At 36.8% G+C, this 19,435-nt stretch overlaps 1 protein-coding gene and 1 pseudogene across 7 annotated transcripts in view; both read right to left on the bottom strand.

Moving 5' to 3' along the window:
* The window catches only part of PKN2 (protein kinase N2), a 151,983-nt gene that overhangs the window by 12,716 nt on the left and 119,832 nt on the right, over positions 1-19,435 (bottom strand). For 6 of the 7 annotated variants that reach the window (XM_047425224.1, NM_006256.4, NM_001320709.2 and 3 more), the window contains 9 exons: positions 19,006-19,149; positions 18,619-18,694; positions 17,869-18,043; positions 17,523-17,649; positions 16,097-16,227; positions 15,936-16,011; positions 15,765-15,856; positions 9,807-9,983; positions 1,537-1,599 (listed from right to left, as the gene is read on the bottom strand). In XM_047425224.1, coding sequence (XP_047281180.1) covers positions 1,537-1,599; positions 9,807-9,983; positions 15,765-15,856; positions 15,936-16,011; positions 16,097-16,227; positions 17,523-17,649; positions 17,869-18,043; positions 18,619-18,694; positions 19,006-19,149 — 1,061 coding nt within the window. The remainder of the gene's footprint in view (positions 1-1,536; positions 1,600-9,806; positions 9,984-15,764; positions 15,857-15,935; positions 16,012-16,096; positions 16,228-17,522; positions 17,650-17,868; positions 18,044-18,618; positions 18,695-19,005; positions 19,150-19,435) is intronic. The other variant, NM_001320707.2, reaches the window with a different exon arrangement.
* Positions 6,655-6,761, bottom strand: RNU6-125P (RNA, U6 small nuclear 125, pseudogene; annotated as a pseudogene).

The following is a 19,435-nucleotide window of genomic DNA, read 5'->3' as shown; positions in this document are numbered from 1 at the left end:
AGTAGAGATGGGTTTTCACCATGTTGGCCAGGCTGGTCTTGAACTCCTGACCTCAGGTGATCCACCTGCCTCGGCCTCCAAAAGTGCTGGGATTACAGGTATGAGCCACTGCACCTGGCCAACTTAATCCAGTTTTAAAGTTTGCTTATATACCATCCATAAGAAAGAATTGTAAAGTTAACAGTATTAATAAGGCATCAGAGGGCAGGTTTCATCTTCTGAAAGAATAAGAGAAAGCTATCCATCCATACTAATTGTTTACAAATTAGGCAAACTGACAATATTTTATCCATTTTTTTCAATTTATTTTTTATTTTTGTGAGACAAGGTACTCACTCTGTTGTCTAAGTGGAGTGCAGTGGCATAATCACGGCTCACTGCAGCCTTGACCTCCCAGGCTCAAGGAATTCCCCCACCTCAGCCTCCTGAGTAGCTGGGATACAGGCAGATGTCATCACTCCTGGCTGATTTTTGTTATTTTTTTGTAGAGACAGAATATCACTATGTTGCCCAGGCGGGTCTCAAACTCCTAGACTGAAGCAATCCTCCCACCTTGGCCTCCCCAAATGCTGGGGTTACAGGCATGAGCCACTGTGCCCAGGAAACATTTTATCCATTAGGTAAAACAATCTTATCATGAAAACATCATTAGAACCTTACCGGCTGGGCACGGTGGCTCACAACTGTAATCCCAGCACTTTGGGAGGCCGAGGCGGGTAGTCACCTGAGGTCAGGAGTTTTAAGACCAGCCTGGCCAACATGGTGAAACTCCATCTATACTAAAAATACAAAAATTAGCTGGGCATGGTGGCGGGCACCTGTAATTCCATGTACTCAGGAGGCTGAGGCAGGAGAATCGCTTGAACCCAGGAGGCAGAGGTTGCCATGAGCCGAGATTGTGCATTGCACTCCAGCTTGGGTGACAAGAGCGAAACTCCGTCTCAAAAAAAAAAAAAAAAAGCTTAAATAATCCAATGTTTATAGTCTTCTAATTCTGACTAGCCTTCTCATAATCTGCTTGGTCCTGGGCAGTGAGTGTTAGTCAAGGTGTGGTTCACAAACTAGCTGCTGGGCCACGAATTACAGAGATCAGCTACATCACCAATACACTATTTAGTTCAGTTGACAATAAGGCTTCTTAATGAGGGAAGCAGTGTGATGTTTTACACTCTAACACAAGCTACTTGTCTCATCATGGACACGTTTTTAGTAGTATTGGTCTATAGAGGTTTTCTGCAATGAGTCGTTTGAATGCAAAATATTCACTAGGATGAATATTGTTGAGAAATGCACTATCATAGACCAACTCATAATTTGACTATTTTAATTAGAAAATGTGCTATGGATTAGGAAACAAAAAGTTCATCATATAATCATAGTGCTAACCACGTCTTTCAACATTGGGGTTTGACTTACAGGTGAAGGAGAAAACTAAGAAACTGGTTAAACATAAAATGTTTAAGAAAAACAAAATACTATCTTTAATTCTAAATCATACCAAAGCAAGCCATTAGAAAAAATTAAAAATTAACTTACCTATAAACAATTTTGTGTTCATGTAAATACTGCAACCCAAGAACTACACAAGCAGCATAAAATCTGTTTGAAGAATTAAATCAACAGGAGTTTAATAAATTTTATTGCTCTTGAATCCCAGCTTATATGTTTATACTTCAAAGCAGACCTATCATTAATTTATTTCACAAATATTTATTTAGTCCCTACTATGTATCACATTGTGCTAGATATTAGGGGTAAAATTTAAAAATGAGAAAAGTACAGTCTTGACAATGGAAGCCATTAACTTTGCCTAGTGGAGTCACTGAGAACCTCAGAGGGGACATTTGATCTGGTTCTGCAGGAGGAATTACAATATAACATAAGGACAAAGGACAGTGTGACAGGCAGAAGTTTTGTAGGGGAATAATAAAGTACTTACCTGAGAGAAAAAAGAAATAGAGGTGCAAAAGGCGTAACATGTTTGATAACAAGTAAGTTTGGTGTGGCTGAAGTAAAGGATGGGTGTATCTGGGGACGAAGTAGGAGATTAGGCTGAAAAGATATCCTGGGCGAAGGACCTTGAATGTCATATTATGGATACTGAAATTTTTTCTCTTAGTGACAGAGAATCAAACCATTTTAATCAGAGGAGAATGATGGCATTTATGTTAAAGTTTTCTGGTAGCAATGCGAAGGATGGAGAAGTAGGTAGAGATCCAGAGGAAAAAAGAACAGATAAGGCTTTTATCATATTATAGATGAAAAGATCATGAGAACATCCACTGTAGTGGCAACAGAGAGACAGATTCACAAAAACTTAAAAATTAGCATGACAGAAGGTGGTATCCCATTACAGGATAAGGAAGTGGGAAGAACTAAAGGTAACTTTCAAGGTTTCCATCTTAGAATGAACAGATAAAGAAACATAGAGGTAGCCAAGGTTGTGTGACAAAACTAAGTTTGGCATTTGACAGGTTGACTTTGTCTGTGGGGCAGGTGATGATATGTAAAAGCTGGGTATGCAGGTTTGGATCTCAAAAAACCTGGGTCGAGAGAGAATAATTCTTGAGGCGCAGGACCATGTTTGACTTTTTCAATTTTTATCCTAAATGCATTAGCATAATGCCTAATATACATGATAGGCTTATTGAACAAGGAGGAAATAAATGAATAGATTTAAAAATGCAAATGTCTTCAGTGTAGAATAGCCTATGAACAGACCCTTAGGATAATTAGTTTTTAATTATAAAAGTAATAACATGAATATTTTCTCTATAAAACGTAATATGCTTCTCCAAAGTACACTATTTAATCCATCTATCTCCATCTCACCTCATTCCACTGCCGTTCATACAGATAACAATTCTTGTCACTTTAATGTTATTCCAAACTTTCAGAATATATTTACATTCACATGTAGATAATATAGCTATGTTTTATATTTACCTATTTTTATTAAAAATGGGTCAATAATTTTTATTTATTTATTTTATTTATTTTTTTTTTGAGATGGAGTTTTGCTCTTGTTGCCCAAGCTGGAGTGCAATTGCACAATCTCAGCTCACCGCAACCCCCACCTCCCCAGTTCAAGTGATTTTCTTGCCTCAGCCTCCTGAGTAGCTGGGATTATAGGCATGTGCCACCACGCCCAGCTAATTTTGTATTTTTAGTGGAGACGGGGTTTCTCCATGTGGTCAGGCTGGTCTCGAACTTCCGACCTCAGGTGATCTGCCCGCCTCGGCCTCCCAAAGTGCTGGGATTACAGGCATGAGCCATGGTGCCTCGCATTTTTATTTTTTTCTATTTATATATATATATATATATATATATATATATATATATATATATATATATATATAGGTTTCTGAAAAGATTTGTTTGATTTATTTACTTTTAAATTATACTTTTAAGTTCTGGGATACATGTGCAGAATGTACAGGTTTGTTACATAGGTATTCACGTGTCATGGTGATTTGCTGCACCCATCAACCCGTCATCTACATTAGGTATTTCTCCTAATGCTATCCCTCCCCTAGCCCCCGACCCCCGGTGTGTGATGTTCCCCTCCCTGTGTCCAGGTGTTCTCATTGTTCAACTCCCACTTATGAGAACATTCAGTGTTTGGTTTTCTGTTTCTGTGTTTGTTTGCTAAGAATGATGGTTTCCAGCTTCATCCATGTCCTGCAAAGGACATGAACTCATCATTTTTTATGGCTGTATAGTATTTCATGGTGTATATGTGCCACATTTTCTTTATGCAGTCTATCATTGATGGGCCTTTGGGTTGGTTCCAAGTCTTTGCTATTGTGAACAGTGCTCCAATAAACATACGTGTGCATGTGTCTTTACAGAATTTATAATCCTTTGGGTATATACCCAGTAATGGGATGGCTGGGTCAAATAATATTTCTAGTTCTAGATCCTTGAGGAATCACCACACTGTCTTCCACAATGGCTGAACTAATTTACACTCCCACCAACAGTGTAAAAACATTCCTATTTCTCCATATCCTCTCCAGCATCTGTTGTTTCCTGACTTTTTAATGATCGCCATTCTAACTGGCGTGAGATGGTATCTCATTGTAGTTTTGATTTGCATTTCTCTAATGACCAGTGATGATGAGCTTTTTTTCATATGTTTTTTGGATAAATGTCTTGAGAAGTGTCTGTTCATATCCTTCACCTACTTTTTGATGGGGCTGTTTTTTTTCTTGTAAATTTGTTTCAGTTCCTTGTAGATTCTGGATATTAGCCCTTTGTCAGATGGACAGATTGCAAAAATCTTCTCCCATTCTGTAGGTTGCCTGTTCACTCTGACGACAGTTTCTTTTGCTGTGCAGAAGCTCTTTAATCAGATCCCATTTGTTAATTTTGGCTTTGGTTGCCACTGCTTTTGGTGTTTTAGTCATGAAGTCTTTGCCCATGCCTGTGTCCTGAATGGTACTGCCTAGGTTTTCTTCTAGGGTTTTTATGGTTTTGAGTCTTATGTTCAAGTCTTTAATCCATCTTGAGTTAACTTTTATATAAGGTGTAAGGAAGGGGTTCAGTTTCAGTTCCCCGCATATGGCTAGCCAGTTTTCCCAACACCATTTATTAAATAGGGAATTCTTTCCCCATTACTTGTTTTTGTCAGGTTTCTCAAAAGATGAGATGGTTGTAGATGTGTGGCATTATTTCTGAGGCCTCTGTTCTGTTCCATTGGTCTATATACATGTTTTGGTACCAGTACCATGGTGTTTTGGTTGCTGCAGTCTTGTAGTATAGTTTGAAATCAGGTAGCGTGATGCCTCCAAATTTGCTCTTTTTGCTTAGCGTTGTCTTGGCTATACGGGCTCTTTTGGTTCCATGTGAAATTTAAAGTAGTTTCTTCTTTTTCTTTTTTTTTTTTTTTTGAGAAGGAGTCTCACTCTGTTGCCCAGGCTGGAGTGCAGTGGCACAGTCTTTGCTTACTGCAACCTCCACCTCCCAGGTTCAAGCAATTCTCCTGACTCAGTCTCCCGAGTAGCTGGGATTACAGGCGTGTACCACCATGCCTATCTAATTTTTGTATTTTTAGTAGAGACGGGGTTTCACCATGTTGGCCAGGCTAGTCTCAAACTCCTGACCTCAAATGACCCACCCGCCTCAACCTCCCAAAGTGCTGGGATTACAGGCGTGAGCCACCACACCCAGCCTAAAGCAGTTTTTTCTAATTCTGTGAAGAAAGTCAATGGTAGCTTAATGGGGATAGCATTGAATCTATAAATTACTTTGGGCAGTATGGCCATTTTCAAGATATTGATTCTTCCTATCCATGAGCATGGAATGTTTTTCCATTTGTTTGTGTCCTCTCTTATTTCCTTGGGCAGTGATTTGTAGTTCTCCTTGAAGAGGTCCTTCACATCCCTTGTAAGCTGTATTCCTAGGTATTTTATTCTCTTTGTAGCAACTGTGAATGGGAGTTAATTCATGATTCAGTTCTCTATTATCAGTGTATTATGCTTGTGATTTTTGCACATTGATTTGTATCCTGAGACTTTGCTGAAGTTGCTTATCAGCTTAAGGAGATTTTGCGCTGAGATGATGGGGTTTTCTAAATATATAATCATGTCATCTCCAAACAGAGACAATTTGACTTCCTTTCTTCCTATTTTAATAAACTTTCTTTCTTTCTCTTGCCTGATTGCCCTGGCCAGAACTTCCAATACTATGTTGAATATTGGCTGTGGGTTTGTCATAAATAGCTCTTATTATTTTGAGATACGTCCCATCAACACCTAGTTTATTGAGTTTTTAGCATGAAGCAGTGTTGAATTTTATCGAAGGCCTTTTCTTTTCTTTTTTTTTTTTTTGAGACGGAGTCTCGCTTTGTCGCCCAGACTGGAGTGCTGTGGCGCGATCTCGGCTTACTGCAACCTCTGCCTCCAGGGTTCAAGCGATTCTCCTGCCTCCTGCCTCCTGAGCAGCCGAGACTACAGGCCTACACCGCCACACCCAGCTAATTTTTTTGTGTTTTTAGTAGAGATGGGGTTTCACCATGTTGGCCAGGCTGGTCTCGATATCCTGACCTGGTGCTCCAACCACCTCGGCCTCCTAAAGTGCTGGGATTACAGGCATGAGCCACCTCACCCGGCCTTTTTTTTTTTTTTTTTGAGACAGAGTCTTGCTCTGTCGCCAGGCTGGAGTGCAGTGGCGTGATCTCCGCTCACTGCCACCTCCGCCTGTCGAAGGCCTTTTTTGCATCTATTGAGATAATCATGTAGTTTTTGTCATTGGTTCTGTTTATGTGATGGATTACGTTTATTGATTTGTGTGTGTTGAACCAGCCTTGCATCCCAGGGATGAAGCCGACTTGATCGTGGTGGATAAGCTTTTTGATGTGCTGCTGGATTTGGTTTGCCAGTGTTTTACTGAAGATTTTTGCATCGATGTTCATCAGGGATATTGGCCTGAAATTTTCTTTTTTTGTGGTGTCTCTGCCAGGTTTTGGTATCAGGATGATGCTGGCCTCATAAAGTGAGTTAGAGAGGAGCCCCTCTTTTTCTATTGTTTGGAATAGTTTCAGAAGGAATGGTACCAGCTCCTCTTTGTACCTGTGGTAGAATTTGGCTGTGAATCCATCTGGTCCTGGGCTTTTTTTGGTTGGTAGGCTATTAATTACTGCCTCAATTTCAGAAAAATATGGAATGCTTCACGAATTTGTGTGTCATCCTCGCACAGGGGTCATGCTAATCTTCTCTATAAGGTTCCAATTTTAGTGTATGTGCTGCTGAAGTGAGCACGGGTCTATAATTTTTAAACGCGGGGCTTGTGCTGCAGGGGTGGTGGTCAGGGTCCACCAGGCAGTTTCATCAGGGCTTAGACTTCCCAACACAGAAATAAAAAACAAAAATAAAATGCAACTACTTAGAAATACTTACTTAATTATACATTAAAAATTAAACAACTTACCAGAAGTTTTAAGGATCTACTGAAGTTTATTAAAATAAACGTGAGCTTAAAATTGCTTAAGATGGCCAGGTGTGGTGGCTCATGCCTGTAATCCCAGCACTCTGGGAAGCTGAGGCAGGCAGATCACCTGAGGTCAGGAGTTTGAGACCAGCCTGGCCAATAGAGTGAAACCCCGTCTCTACTAAAAATACAAAAATTAGCCAGGCATGGTGGCACGCGCCTGTAGTCCCAGCTATTTGGGAGGCTGAGGCAGGATAATCTCTTGAACCTGTGTGGCAGAGGTTGTAGTGAGCCAAGACGGTGCCACTGCACTCCAGCCTGGGAGACGGAGCAAGACTCTGTCTCAAAACAAACAAACAAACAAAATTGCTTAAGATAGTTAAACATAATTTTCTTAGCAAACTTATTTTTGTGGCAAAACAATACTGTAACAATTATAAAAATACCTTGATTTCTCTCTTTTTTTTAATTTGGGGGGGTCTCACTCTGTCGCCCAGGGTGGAGTGCAGTGACGTGATCTTGGCTCACTGCAACCTCTGCCTCTGGGGTTCAAGTGGTTCTCCTGCCTCAGCTTCCCAAATAGCTGGGATTACAGGCGCCTGCCACCATGCCCAGCTAATTTTTGTATTTTTAGTATAGACAGGGTTTCACCATGTTGGCCAGGCTGGTCTAGAACTCCTGAGCTTAAGTGATCTGCCTGCCTCTGCCTCCCAAAGTGCTGGGATTATAGGCATGGAGCCACCGCTCCCCGCTGATTTCTTTCTTTGTAAACAGACTGCCTTGATTAATTGCGTATACCATCTAAAATACATATTTTATTGAATGCTCCTGTTTGTCCGGTATTGTGTCAGTTATTTTCATTTATTAGCTTATTTAATCTTCAATCAAGCCTTAAGATATTTTACAGAGCAGATAATGAAGCTCAGAAAACATAATTTGTCTAAAGTTAGACTATGAAACAACAAAGCTAGAAATCAAGCTATTTTGATTCTATGGTTTCAATCAATAAAAATTCACTGATTGCCTAATATGTTCCAGGTATTCTTTTAGGTGTTTCACTAATAAACAGGACAGATATGGTTCTTGCTCCTCTCTTTTAAGTGAAATAAGATAGACAATAAAAATTTTAAAAATAAATCAGATGATTTCATGTAGAAATAAAATGATATGAAAAAGATAATACAGAAAATAGAGTGAACTGAATTGGTTAGTGATGTGATATTTTAGCTAGGGAACTCAGAAAATTACCTTTAAAGAAATGACCTTTGATCTGAGAACTGAATGATAAAGGGAGGTACTTTCAGATTTGGAGTTCTGTAATGCAGCATTGTATTCTTGTATTTTCACTGGACTTTATGGTTTTATTTGTATATAATTTATATTCTCAGCAAAAATAACAGTTTCTTAAGGCAAACTACATTTATGTATTATTTTAAAAACAAAAACAAGCATAAAAAATAAAACCAAACAAATTCCCATGGCAGCATAAGGTTAGGCATAATTGTAATGCTCTGCCTTAAATATTGAGGGAATGAATTATTCGTAGCCTTCTACTACTTTCTGGCTTTTCCCTCCTTTTAAAATGCTTCAGTACCCATTAGAATTAACCCCTATGTCCCTCATCTGAAACTTGATGGTTATGACAGTATTACAATTCTCTGCTCTAAATACCTCTAATGGTTATGACAAGAATCAAATGGAGGAATCAAAGAGAAAGTACAACACAAATGTCAGTTGCTATTTCATCAGATTATAGATGTGGAATGAAAACTAAAGAGTAAATACAATAGAGATTTACTACTGGGTTTATGCTTCCTATGACTTGGGATATATTCTACAGGTGGAGTTGACTGGACTTGCTAATAGTTTGAGTGTTGAAGTTAAAGGAAAAAGAGCATCAAGAATGACTTTTTGTGTTCTGGCTTGAACCTGGTATTGCTGTTTAATAAAATAGGGAAGACTAAGAGTAGCAGGCCTGGGGAGTAGTAGATGAGGTAGGTAGAAAAATGGAAAAAATCAGTTCAGTTTAAGTTGTTAAATAAGATATTTAGCCACACAAATGGAAAACTAGCTGACCACTGAATATTATTAGAGTTGGAAGTTTAGGTAAGAGGACGGGGCTGGAAACACAAATTTGGTAAACACCAGCATGCAGGGTGTAGGTATTAATATCACTTTCCTAGGTTCAAATCCTAGCTCCACCATTTAACAGCTACAAAATTAAGATACTAACAGGGAAAATATACACACATGCATATATAATTTCAAGTGTTTACTATTATTCTTATTTATTTGAATAAGCCAAACCTTGAATTCAAAAACTACAAAAAGAGTTTACAATGAAAAGTCTGCTTTTTATCTCTTTGTCTGGAGGCAACACACATACCAGTTTCTTTTACATTTGTTCAGAGATATTTTACGCACAAGGACGCAAATAGTTGATATTCTTTTAAATTATGCTTTAGAAAGGCAAATACAAATATTTTATATAAATATATGATACAGACTCTTCTGTACTTTCTTTTCAAAAACTTAACAGTGCATTTTGAGTATAATCTGTCTTTAAAGCTGTAATTCTGGATGGCATTCTCTAGTGAGAAAATCTAATAGCAAAAAAAGAAATTTTACTAAAATGAATCTAAATTGCTTATCTAAAGTATCAATTGTGGTTTTGGGCAATCCATGACATTTTCAACACAGACAACAGAATACATACAAAAAGTATATGGCAAAAAAGTAAGTAAGGAGTTCTAGTATTTCTTGCAGAGATCTATTTTCTGTTAGGAAAAAAAATCTAAAATTCAAAGAATCTCTTTTCCTTCCCAGAATGAAATCAGTCATGGAAAAACTCAGACAAATGTCTAAAGCATACTCACACAGCTCTTGGTTCAGAAAAGACATCAGTATGAATGTGCATCATTAGGTCCCCACCGGCAGCATATTCCATTACAAAGCAAACATGCTCTTTGGTTTGGAAACATGCAAAAAGGTTCACCAAAAAGGGATGCCTTACACTATTCACAGTTTCAAAAATTCTTTTTTCACACATCAGGCTGTAAAAGAAAATATTTTAAAATAAGCAGATTAAAAATAATTCTAGTTGGAAATAACATTCTTTATAAATTACTAAACTTAAAAATAAGCAAAATTTTAACTATAACTTAAAAATCCTAACATGTGTCTTAGTTTTGCTATATGTGCTATGAAAACTGACCTACCTAAAATAAATAACTTCAGTTGAAATATATTAATAGAAACTTTAAAAGATTATAGCATTCACATTGATAGTCTATAGCACATACATGGTTAGTGGTTACAGTTGATTTTTTAAAAGGCTTAATTAAGGGTGAAATATGAAAATTCTTCAGGAATTGGTCAGAGAATTTAGCAATTTAAAGCGTACTTTGAAAAATTTAAAAGTTTGTGGTGAAGGTAATTTCAAAGACAGTATCTATAATTCACAAGCTATAGTATTCAATTTTTTATCATATAAAATTGATATGAAGTTGAACAGTACAGATATGCTGCATAAAATTTTAATTTAAAAGACTAGAAAATAAAGAGGATACCTGACAAACTTTCTAAATGTTACTACAGATTAAGGCACTATTATAAATAAACTCATAGAAGATTAAAAAGTTAACAGTTTTTATTTTTGTCATCATTTAAATTTACTAGAAAATAATGTACTAAAAATTGCTTTAGACAAGATCAGTAAGATGTATTCTAAAACATCTGCTTTATTAAGCCAATCTGAATTTTGGCTAAATGTAGATAAAATAATCAGATGAAATAAGACAAAACAAAGATGTTTTGGGCTTAAGTAGATGACAAATATGTTCTCTTCATTGTCTATAGTTGTGTGTTTTTTTGAGACAGGATCTTGCTCTGTCTTTCAGGAGCTGGAGTGCAGTGATATCATCATGGCTCCCTGTAACCTTGAACTCCTAGGCTCAAGTGAACCTCCTGCCTCAGCTTCCTGAGTAGCTGGTACTACAGGAACATACTACCATGCCTGGCTTTTATTTTTTTGATAGGAACAGGGTCTCACTATGTTGCCCAGGCTTGTCTTGAACTTCTGGTCTCAAGCAATCCTCCTGCCTTGGCCTCCCAAAGTACTGAGATTACAGGTATGAACCACCATACCAGCCCCTGTCCATAGTTTTTATTTATGGGTGACTCACTAATTCATTATGGGTGAATTTATGAATGAAACAACTGTTCTCAACTGAACAGGTGTTAGGTTAGAACTGGGTGGAACATATAAGTGGTATAAAACATTTGAGACCCATTGACTGGACTACCCCTTGAAATGATTTCAATGCCATTCACAGGAATTATCTGAATTACAATAATGATGAGGTATCTGCACAGATGTCTTAGGACAGCGAGATAAAGGAGCAAGGCTCTTTTATAGATCCAAATTGTCAAAATAATTTTAATTTTATGCATTTTATAGCACACAAAAAAGCTATTACATACGAATCTTCAACTTGTCCCACATTATCTAAACTGTGTATTGTCCCTAAAAGTCCATGCAACAATCCAACTTTATTTAAAACTTTAAGCCTTATTCATCCTGTCCAGAACATTTCCCTCTAAATTGTCATCACTCTTCTCTCCTTATTCCCAAATAACTTCTGTCTACCAAAACCCAGCAAAAATCCAACCTCTTTTATAAGACTCTACCTAAATCTTGCTCTAAATACTTCTGATCATGATGACAGGAATCAAATAAAGGGGTCAAAGTGAAAGTGCAACACAAATGTCAGTTGATATTTCATCAGATTATAGATGTGGAATGAAAATTTAAGAGTAAATACAATAGAGATTTACTATTGGTTTTATGCTTTGTATGGTTTGGGATATATCCTAGAGGTGAAGTTGACCAGACTTGCTAATAGTTTGAGTGTTGTAGGTAAGGGGAAAAGAGCACCAAGAATGACTGTGTTCTGGCTTGAACAACTGGTATTGCTGTTTAATAAAATAGGGAAGACTAGAAGAGTTGCACACCTGGGGAGTAGTACACTATATGTACTATGGTGTAGTAGTACACCAGTACACTGATTTCCTCCTAAGAACTGCTATTGTTTGTATTGCTTATTTTAACCTCAACTCTATCTAGCCACCTTTATTACATAATGTATTAATGTCTCGTTTCTCTAAGTTACTAGTTCTATCCTAACATGTTTCGTGTACTTCCTTCAAAGTTCATTACATTTTCAGATAAGTTAGAAACCTGAAAACTTATATAAATAGTTATTTTAGTCAGGGGAAAACATCATTAATAAAACCAAGGTCTTAGAATTGAATCCTACATAAGCTGGTTAGCTGTGCTTTCTTCTACAAACACAAAAATATACTTCCAACCCTATTCTGTTGTGTTGAAATATAAATTGGTAAGAAAAGGAAGCTGAGTGAGGAGGCATTGCAGTAACATAAACATAATATCCTTACTCAGCAACTGAAGGGCAAATGGGACTTAGAGTGTTTTACTAATGGTAGGTACACAGAATATGATCTTTGTTCATAAATTATCTAACACTTTATTTTAGAATCCATAATTTGTGTTCACTTAAAAAGAGGTTGATTTGAAATTTTCTATGATTTATTAAAAAAGGTAATTTCAAAGTAAAATAATATAATACAGACTATAGAAAGAAAATTTAGACTATGAGAACTGTCATTAAGAATCATAAAGTAGGCCAGGCACAGTGGCTCATGCCTGTAATCCCAGCACTTTGGGAGGCTGAGGCGGGTGGATCACCTGAGGTCAGGAGTTTGAGACCAGCCTGGTCAACATGGTGAAACCCTGTCTGTACTAAAAATACAAAAATGAACTGGGCATGGTGGTGCACACCTGTAATCCTGGCTACTTGGGAGGCTAAGGAAGGAGAATCGCTTGAACCCGGGAGGCGGAGGTTGTAGTGAGCCGAGATCACTCCACTGCACTCCAGCCTGGACAATAGAGTGAGACTCTGTCTCAAAAAATATATAGATAAAGTATACTAGGAACAGCTATTAAAAAATAAACAATAACACCAAACTCTATGGCTTAAAAAGATGAGCTAGGAAGTGGAAAGTAAATATTTAAAATTCTGCTCAGTTATAATAAGTTTAGCTTGAGTTATTTACTATTTATACTTGCAAGTAATGAAATACATTACTTTTAAAAATATGCTAGTCTTGGCCGGGTGTGGTGGCTCATGCCTGTAACCCCAGCACCTTGGGAGGCTGAGGCGGGCAGATCACCTGAGCTCAGGAGTTTGAGACCAGCCTGGCTAACATGGTGAAACCCCATTTCTACTAAAAATACAAAAAATTAGCAGGGCATGGTGGTGCAAGCCTGTAATCCCAGCTACTAGGGAGGCTGAGGCAAAAGAATCACTTGAACCTGAAAGGGAGAGGTTGCAGTGAGCCAAATTCATGCCATTGCACTCCAGTTTGGTCAACAAGAGCAAAACTCCGTCTCAAAAAAAAAAAGCTAGTCTTAAAAAAAAACTTATAAATTTTTTTCTTGCCTTCTTTCAGGTATGCTAGAAATTTAAAAGTACTCCTTTTTCTTACCTTCATTCCTCAAATTTCTCTAAAAGTGTGTTTTATTTCTCACTCTTGGATTTTTCTTTTCTCTCTTTTTATACCAGTTCTACTTGAGATTTTTAAATTTTCATGTTACTGAAAAGTGGAGATTTAAGTTAAGACTGGGTGTGGTGGCTTACACCTATAATCACAACACTTCGGGAGGCCAAGGAGGATCGCTTGAAGCCAGGAGTTTGAGACCAGCCTGGACAACATACCAAGACCCTGACACTATGGGGGAAAGAAATGTAGATGGATCAGTTGTATGCACCTGTGGTCCCAATGGGAAGCTGAGGCAGGAGGATGGCTTGAGCCCAGGAATTCAAGGCTGCAGTGAACTAGGATCATGCTACTGCACTCCAGTGTGGGTGACACAGTGAGACCCTGTCTCTACACAAGACTGGATTAATTTTCAGTAGAGGTAATGGCCTAGATTCTGGCTACAGCATCATCCTGTGATCCAAACTTTCTATAGATTTCATTAGAAAGCATTTTCCTACAAAGATTCAGCACAAAGACGTAACAAGGTAGCAGAAGCCCACGTAAATCAAGATTAATAGAAGTAGTAAACAGTTTCCTATTATTTTAGAAAATAAATGAATTTACCATTTAAGAATCTGGAGAAAAGCAAATATTCCTTCAGGAAAGGAAAACATTTGACCCTTCTATTATTCCAATTATAAACAGACTTAGAATCAAAGACTTGCTTTGGTGGGATCAAAGACTTGCTTTAATTATCTGCTTGTATAACATAAAAATAATTCTAAACATGTAATATGGTACTCAGAATATTTTATAAATATCCAGCAAGCTCTTTAGTATTAGATATCAAGAAAGCATTTATTTTGATGTGATTGAGGTGTATGAGAAACAGTGAAAAAGAAACAGAGGTGAAAAATAAATAGGAAAATCCAAAAGGAAAAGTTTATATAACATAAAAAAATAAATCTCAACCTTTTGAGGCCTGTCCTTATTCTAAGAACTACCCATATGGTGGAAAAAAACATTAAAAGTTGCAATTTGGCATATCTACATAGCAAGACAACTCATTAAGGCAAGTATTACCAAAACAAATATATTTTTAAATATATGAGTTAACTGGGGCTTAAAGATGTTCAGTGAAATGCCCTAGGGTCAATCCTTACTAAGGAGGAGCAATGAGGACGAGAAAAGTCAGCCTTCTCAGTCATAGTCCAGGGCTCTCTTCATTGTACAGAGCTGTCTACCATTAATATTAACATATGCCTCCTACAGTGGTGTAAGAAAAATGTCCATTGAAAGCCTCTTTCTGTGATAAATATGCCATTTTTATACAATAATGTCCATATTTAATTATTCTGTATTAAGATAGTCATTTTTTAAAGTATATTCTCTAAGTGAATTACAATCTTAACCCCCACCAAATCCTTGCATTTTAATAATTGTGGGGCCGGGCACGGTGGCTCACACCTGTAATCCCAGCACTTTGGGAGGCCAAGGCTGGCGGATCATGAGGTCAGGAGATCGAGACCATCCTGGCTAACATGGTGAAACCCCATTTCTACTAAAAATACAAAAAAAAGCTGGACGTGGTGGCATGCGTCTGTAGTCCCAGCTACTCAGGAGACTGAGGCAGGAGAATTGCTTGAACCCAGGAGGTGGAGGTTGCAGTGAGCCGAGATGGCACCACTGCACTCCAGCCTGGAAGACAGTGAGACTCTGTCTCAAAAAATAAATAAATAAATAAACAAAAAATAAAAAAACAATTGTATAAGATACCACAACTTACTTTATTAGACCCAGACGTTAGGGTCAAAAAACATGTTTTTAAAAAAAATAAAAGGAAAAAAATAAGATAACATATTCTGCTTTGTAAAATACTTTAAACCATTCCATTAACTGTAGATTATTTGTAAATGACTTTGTCATTTCCATTAAGACAGAATGAAATATAGCCCCACAAAACCACAGATGAATAACAGTTTCTATTCCATATAAACACTTTAATATTTCCATATATAAAAAACTTAACAAAATTAGTTCAAACATTTCACTATCTTTTTTTGGTATCCATTAACCAGTTAATTGTCACAAGAAGGGTAAAAAGGGGCAAAAAAGAAAAACTAATGTCTACCTTATGTCAAATATAGATACATTATATTTAATTTCTTCACATATTACTGTAAAATCATAAAGTTTTGCTGTTGTAATACATATATCATTTCTCTTAACTTACAAATTCAGAAAAATAAACAATTTCATTTTTAAAAACTAACCTGTCTACTTCATCTCGAGCCACAATATCTCCTTTCTTTAAGGCTTTTATAGCAAACATCTCATTTGTGTTTTTATATTCAGCTAAAAGCACCTGAAATAAAATTAAAATAATTATTTTCCACTTGAGTTATTAATGTTGTAGATATTCCAAAAAATTCCAAAAAGATTACCTTTCCAAAATGTCCTCTTCCCAAGACAGCACAACACCTGAAATCTTGTAGATTAAACTGAAACCTTTGCTGAGATCTGAAAAGAGAAATTTCAATTAATAATAAGACAATAAAGTATGGTACCAAACATGTAGTCGCAAAATTTGGTATATATTCTTTACCTTCTGTCCTCAAGTTCTTGAATACCACTATATTCTAGGCCTGACTGAGGAGTATCAGGCTTGTATTCAGATTGAGATTTTGGAAGTATACTATTTCTGTCATTCTGAATATCAAAAACAGTCTCTGAATCCTGTAAAATATTAAATACACGTGAATCCATAGAAATACCCAGAAAACAACTTATTTGATAATGATAAAATTAAGGAAAAACATTTCAAAAGTCAATATAAATGTTGGAGTGAAAAGTAAAATTCAGATACTCATTCTTTAAAAAAATTTTTTTTTCTTTTTTTAGAGGTGGGTCTCACTATGTTGCCTAGAGAGGTCTTGAATTCCCAGCCACAAGCAATCCTCCTACCTCAGCCTCCCGAGTAGCTGGAGCCATCGCTTTTATATTAAACTTATCTAAAAAATATGAAAAACTGGGCTGAGCACGGTGGCTCATGCCTGTAATCCCAGCACTTTGGTAGGCCGAGGCGGGCGGCTCACCTGAGATCAGGAGTTCAAGAGCAGCCTGACCAACATGGAGAAACCCTATCTCTACTAAAAATACAAAACTAGTGGGCGTGGTGGTGCATGCCTGTAATCCCAGCTACTAGGGAGGCTGAGGCAGTGGAATCACTTGAACCCAGGAGGCGGAGGTTGCAGTGAGCCAAGATCATGCCATTGCACTCCAGCCTGGGCAACAAGAGCAAAACTCCGTCTCAAAACAAAACAAAACCAAAACAATGAAAAACTAACACATTATTATGTATGTTAATCAAGTTAGAAGAAGAATAGTATTTCAGGCAGTATGTCATGTAGTATCAACCACACTCCTATATTACCTCTAGTTTAAGCAGCCTATTCTATCTCTTCTGGACCATGAGCATCCAGAGGCTAATGACAATTTCATGCCAACATTAAGAAGTTGGTTGTCTCCTACCAACTCAGTCTAATTTAGCTGAGACTAGACCATAAGAAACATAAATTCGGCTGGGTGCAGTGGCTCATGCCTGTAATCCCAGCACTTTGGAAGGCCGAGGCGGGCTGATCACCCGAGGTCAGGAGTTTAAGACCAGCCTGACCAATATAATGAAATCCCATCTCTACTGAAAATACAAAAATTAGCCAGGCATGGTGGCATGTGCCTGTAACCCCAGTTATTCAGGAGGCTGAGATAGGAGAATGGCTTGCAGGAGAATCGCTTGAATCCGGGAGGCGGAGGTTGCAGTGAGCCGAGATCATGCCATTGCACTCCAGCCTGGGTAACAAGAGTGAAACTCTGTCTCAAAAAACAAAAACAAAAACAAAAAACAAACAAAAAACCATAAATTCACAGTTCAGTGGCAATTTTAAATGGAAAGACACGCCTTATTCACTATGATGCTTTTATTGCTAATTCATTCAGTGAAGAGGAATTATGCAAGGTTTAAAATGGCTTGCCTGTCCTGGTATATCCAAAACTCTTAATTCAGAAGATTCATCTATTTCTCCAAGAGAAGAAGCTCGTGGTGGGGCTGGAGGAGGTTCAGGCTCAAGATCAAAGTCCAATTTGGTTACTGTAGAATCACTTATAGAAGATAAAGTAACTCACCAAAACAGTAATAGAAAGTCTGTATTTTAAACAGCTTTAAAATTAAAGCAAACAATTTACTTTTTAAGTAAACAGAACACTACTTTCAAAATACTACTTGGGAAAAAAGCAAGACTCAGTACACCTGCTATAATCAGTACGTAAGAATGTCCCAATAACTTTGTATAAGAGATGCTTAAAATCTCAGACACATACCTAGCTGGAGGTGCTAGTTGAGGGATGCGTACATCAACCACTGGCACTGTAGTAGGCACAGGAGCTTGAGGGCTGAAGGTGCCAGAATGATTTACTGTAGGAATAGCTCTTCTTACTAGCCTTCCCCAAGTGGCAATATTAATATTCATTTGAGGAGCTCTGAGAAATGTTTTGCCTGTAGATGTTGAAAAAAACAAAAACAGCAAGTAATTTCTTTATGTATAACCAAAAGTCATAATTTAAAAATTCTTATCCATTAGTTTATAATCTACGAAGAACAAACAAAATTTGTCACTTAAAAAAACTAGTTTTTTACTATTTGCTAGTAAAGGCTAATGCAAAATAGCATACGTAGTTTTAAAAATAAATAGGTAAGAAATTGTTTTTTTCTCTTTAAGTCTAGTAGTAAGGTTTTAAAAATAAATCTTATCTTTTAGATATAAATTATAATAATTATGAATACATCAATATGATGTCTGGGTTTGCTTCAAATTTGAGAAAGTAGTGAGAGGATGGCATATGGATAAAATAAAATTGGCCATGAGTTGATTATTGTTGAAGCCGGGTGACTGTACATTTCACTAGTCTCTCCACTTATGGATACATTTAAAATATTCCTTAATAAGAAGTTAGAAATAAATGAATAAACAACAACAAAAAAACCCACACAGATGGCTATTACTTTTTAAATGGTAATTAGATTGTTTAAGAAAATATCAAAATGCTATGCATTTGATTGTTAGTAATTACCTTGTTGCTTTGAAAAAATTTTCTTTTGTCTTTGAAGTTTTGGTCTTCTTTCAATAACTGGATTAAAAAAGGTAACCTGCAGTGAAGAAAATTCAAGTTGACATGAAAATAGCATGGTTCATGAAATCTACTAAATTTATAAAATTTTAAAGCTTAAGAGAATCTTAGTTACAGTTTAGTCCAGCCCCTCATTTTCTACATGAGAAAACAGACATAGGAAGAATAATTGATTTGTCTCAAAGTCACATACCTATTCAGTGGCATAGCTCAGCCAAGAACTCAAGTCATCTGTCTTTCAGCCTAACACTCTTTCTACTTCTATATTATGCTGCCTACATATGTAATTTCAATTGTAGTTATGCACATTTAATAAAATACATTTATTACCTCTGCAAATAAAGTACCCTGTGGTTCCAAATAGAGACACATGCCATGCCGTTGGTTGTCTAAAAAATCTTCTAACCTCAGAAATTTTACAGCACACAGAGACCGCCAATCACGCCAATAAACTGAAATTTCCAGTTCACGTGACTAGGATAATTAAAAAAAATAATAAAGAAAACAGAAAAGACATCATTGGACACACACTTGAATAAAATATCACAAAAAATATGAAATACAAATACAATAAACAAAAATTACACACACAAAGGTCACACTGTTTTAAAGAGGTTTGTAACATTTCTCAACTGTATAGTACTTTATCAAACTTACACATTTTAATTCAAAGAAACAAAACTTACATTGTGACATTTTCCAGCTAAGGTATTCCTAAAGTATACTTAAAGAATACACAACTGGGAACAACCAATACAGA

The sequence above is a fragment of the Homo sapiens genome, chromosome 1, assembly GCF_000001405.40.
Source record: "Homo sapiens chromosome 1, GRCh38.p14 Primary Assembly".
In the NCBI taxonomy this organism is placed as follows: domain Eukaryota; kingdom Metazoa; phylum Chordata; class Mammalia; order Primates; family Hominidae; genus Homo; species Homo sapiens.
This window is presented reverse-complemented; position numbering and strand designations above follow the sequence as displayed.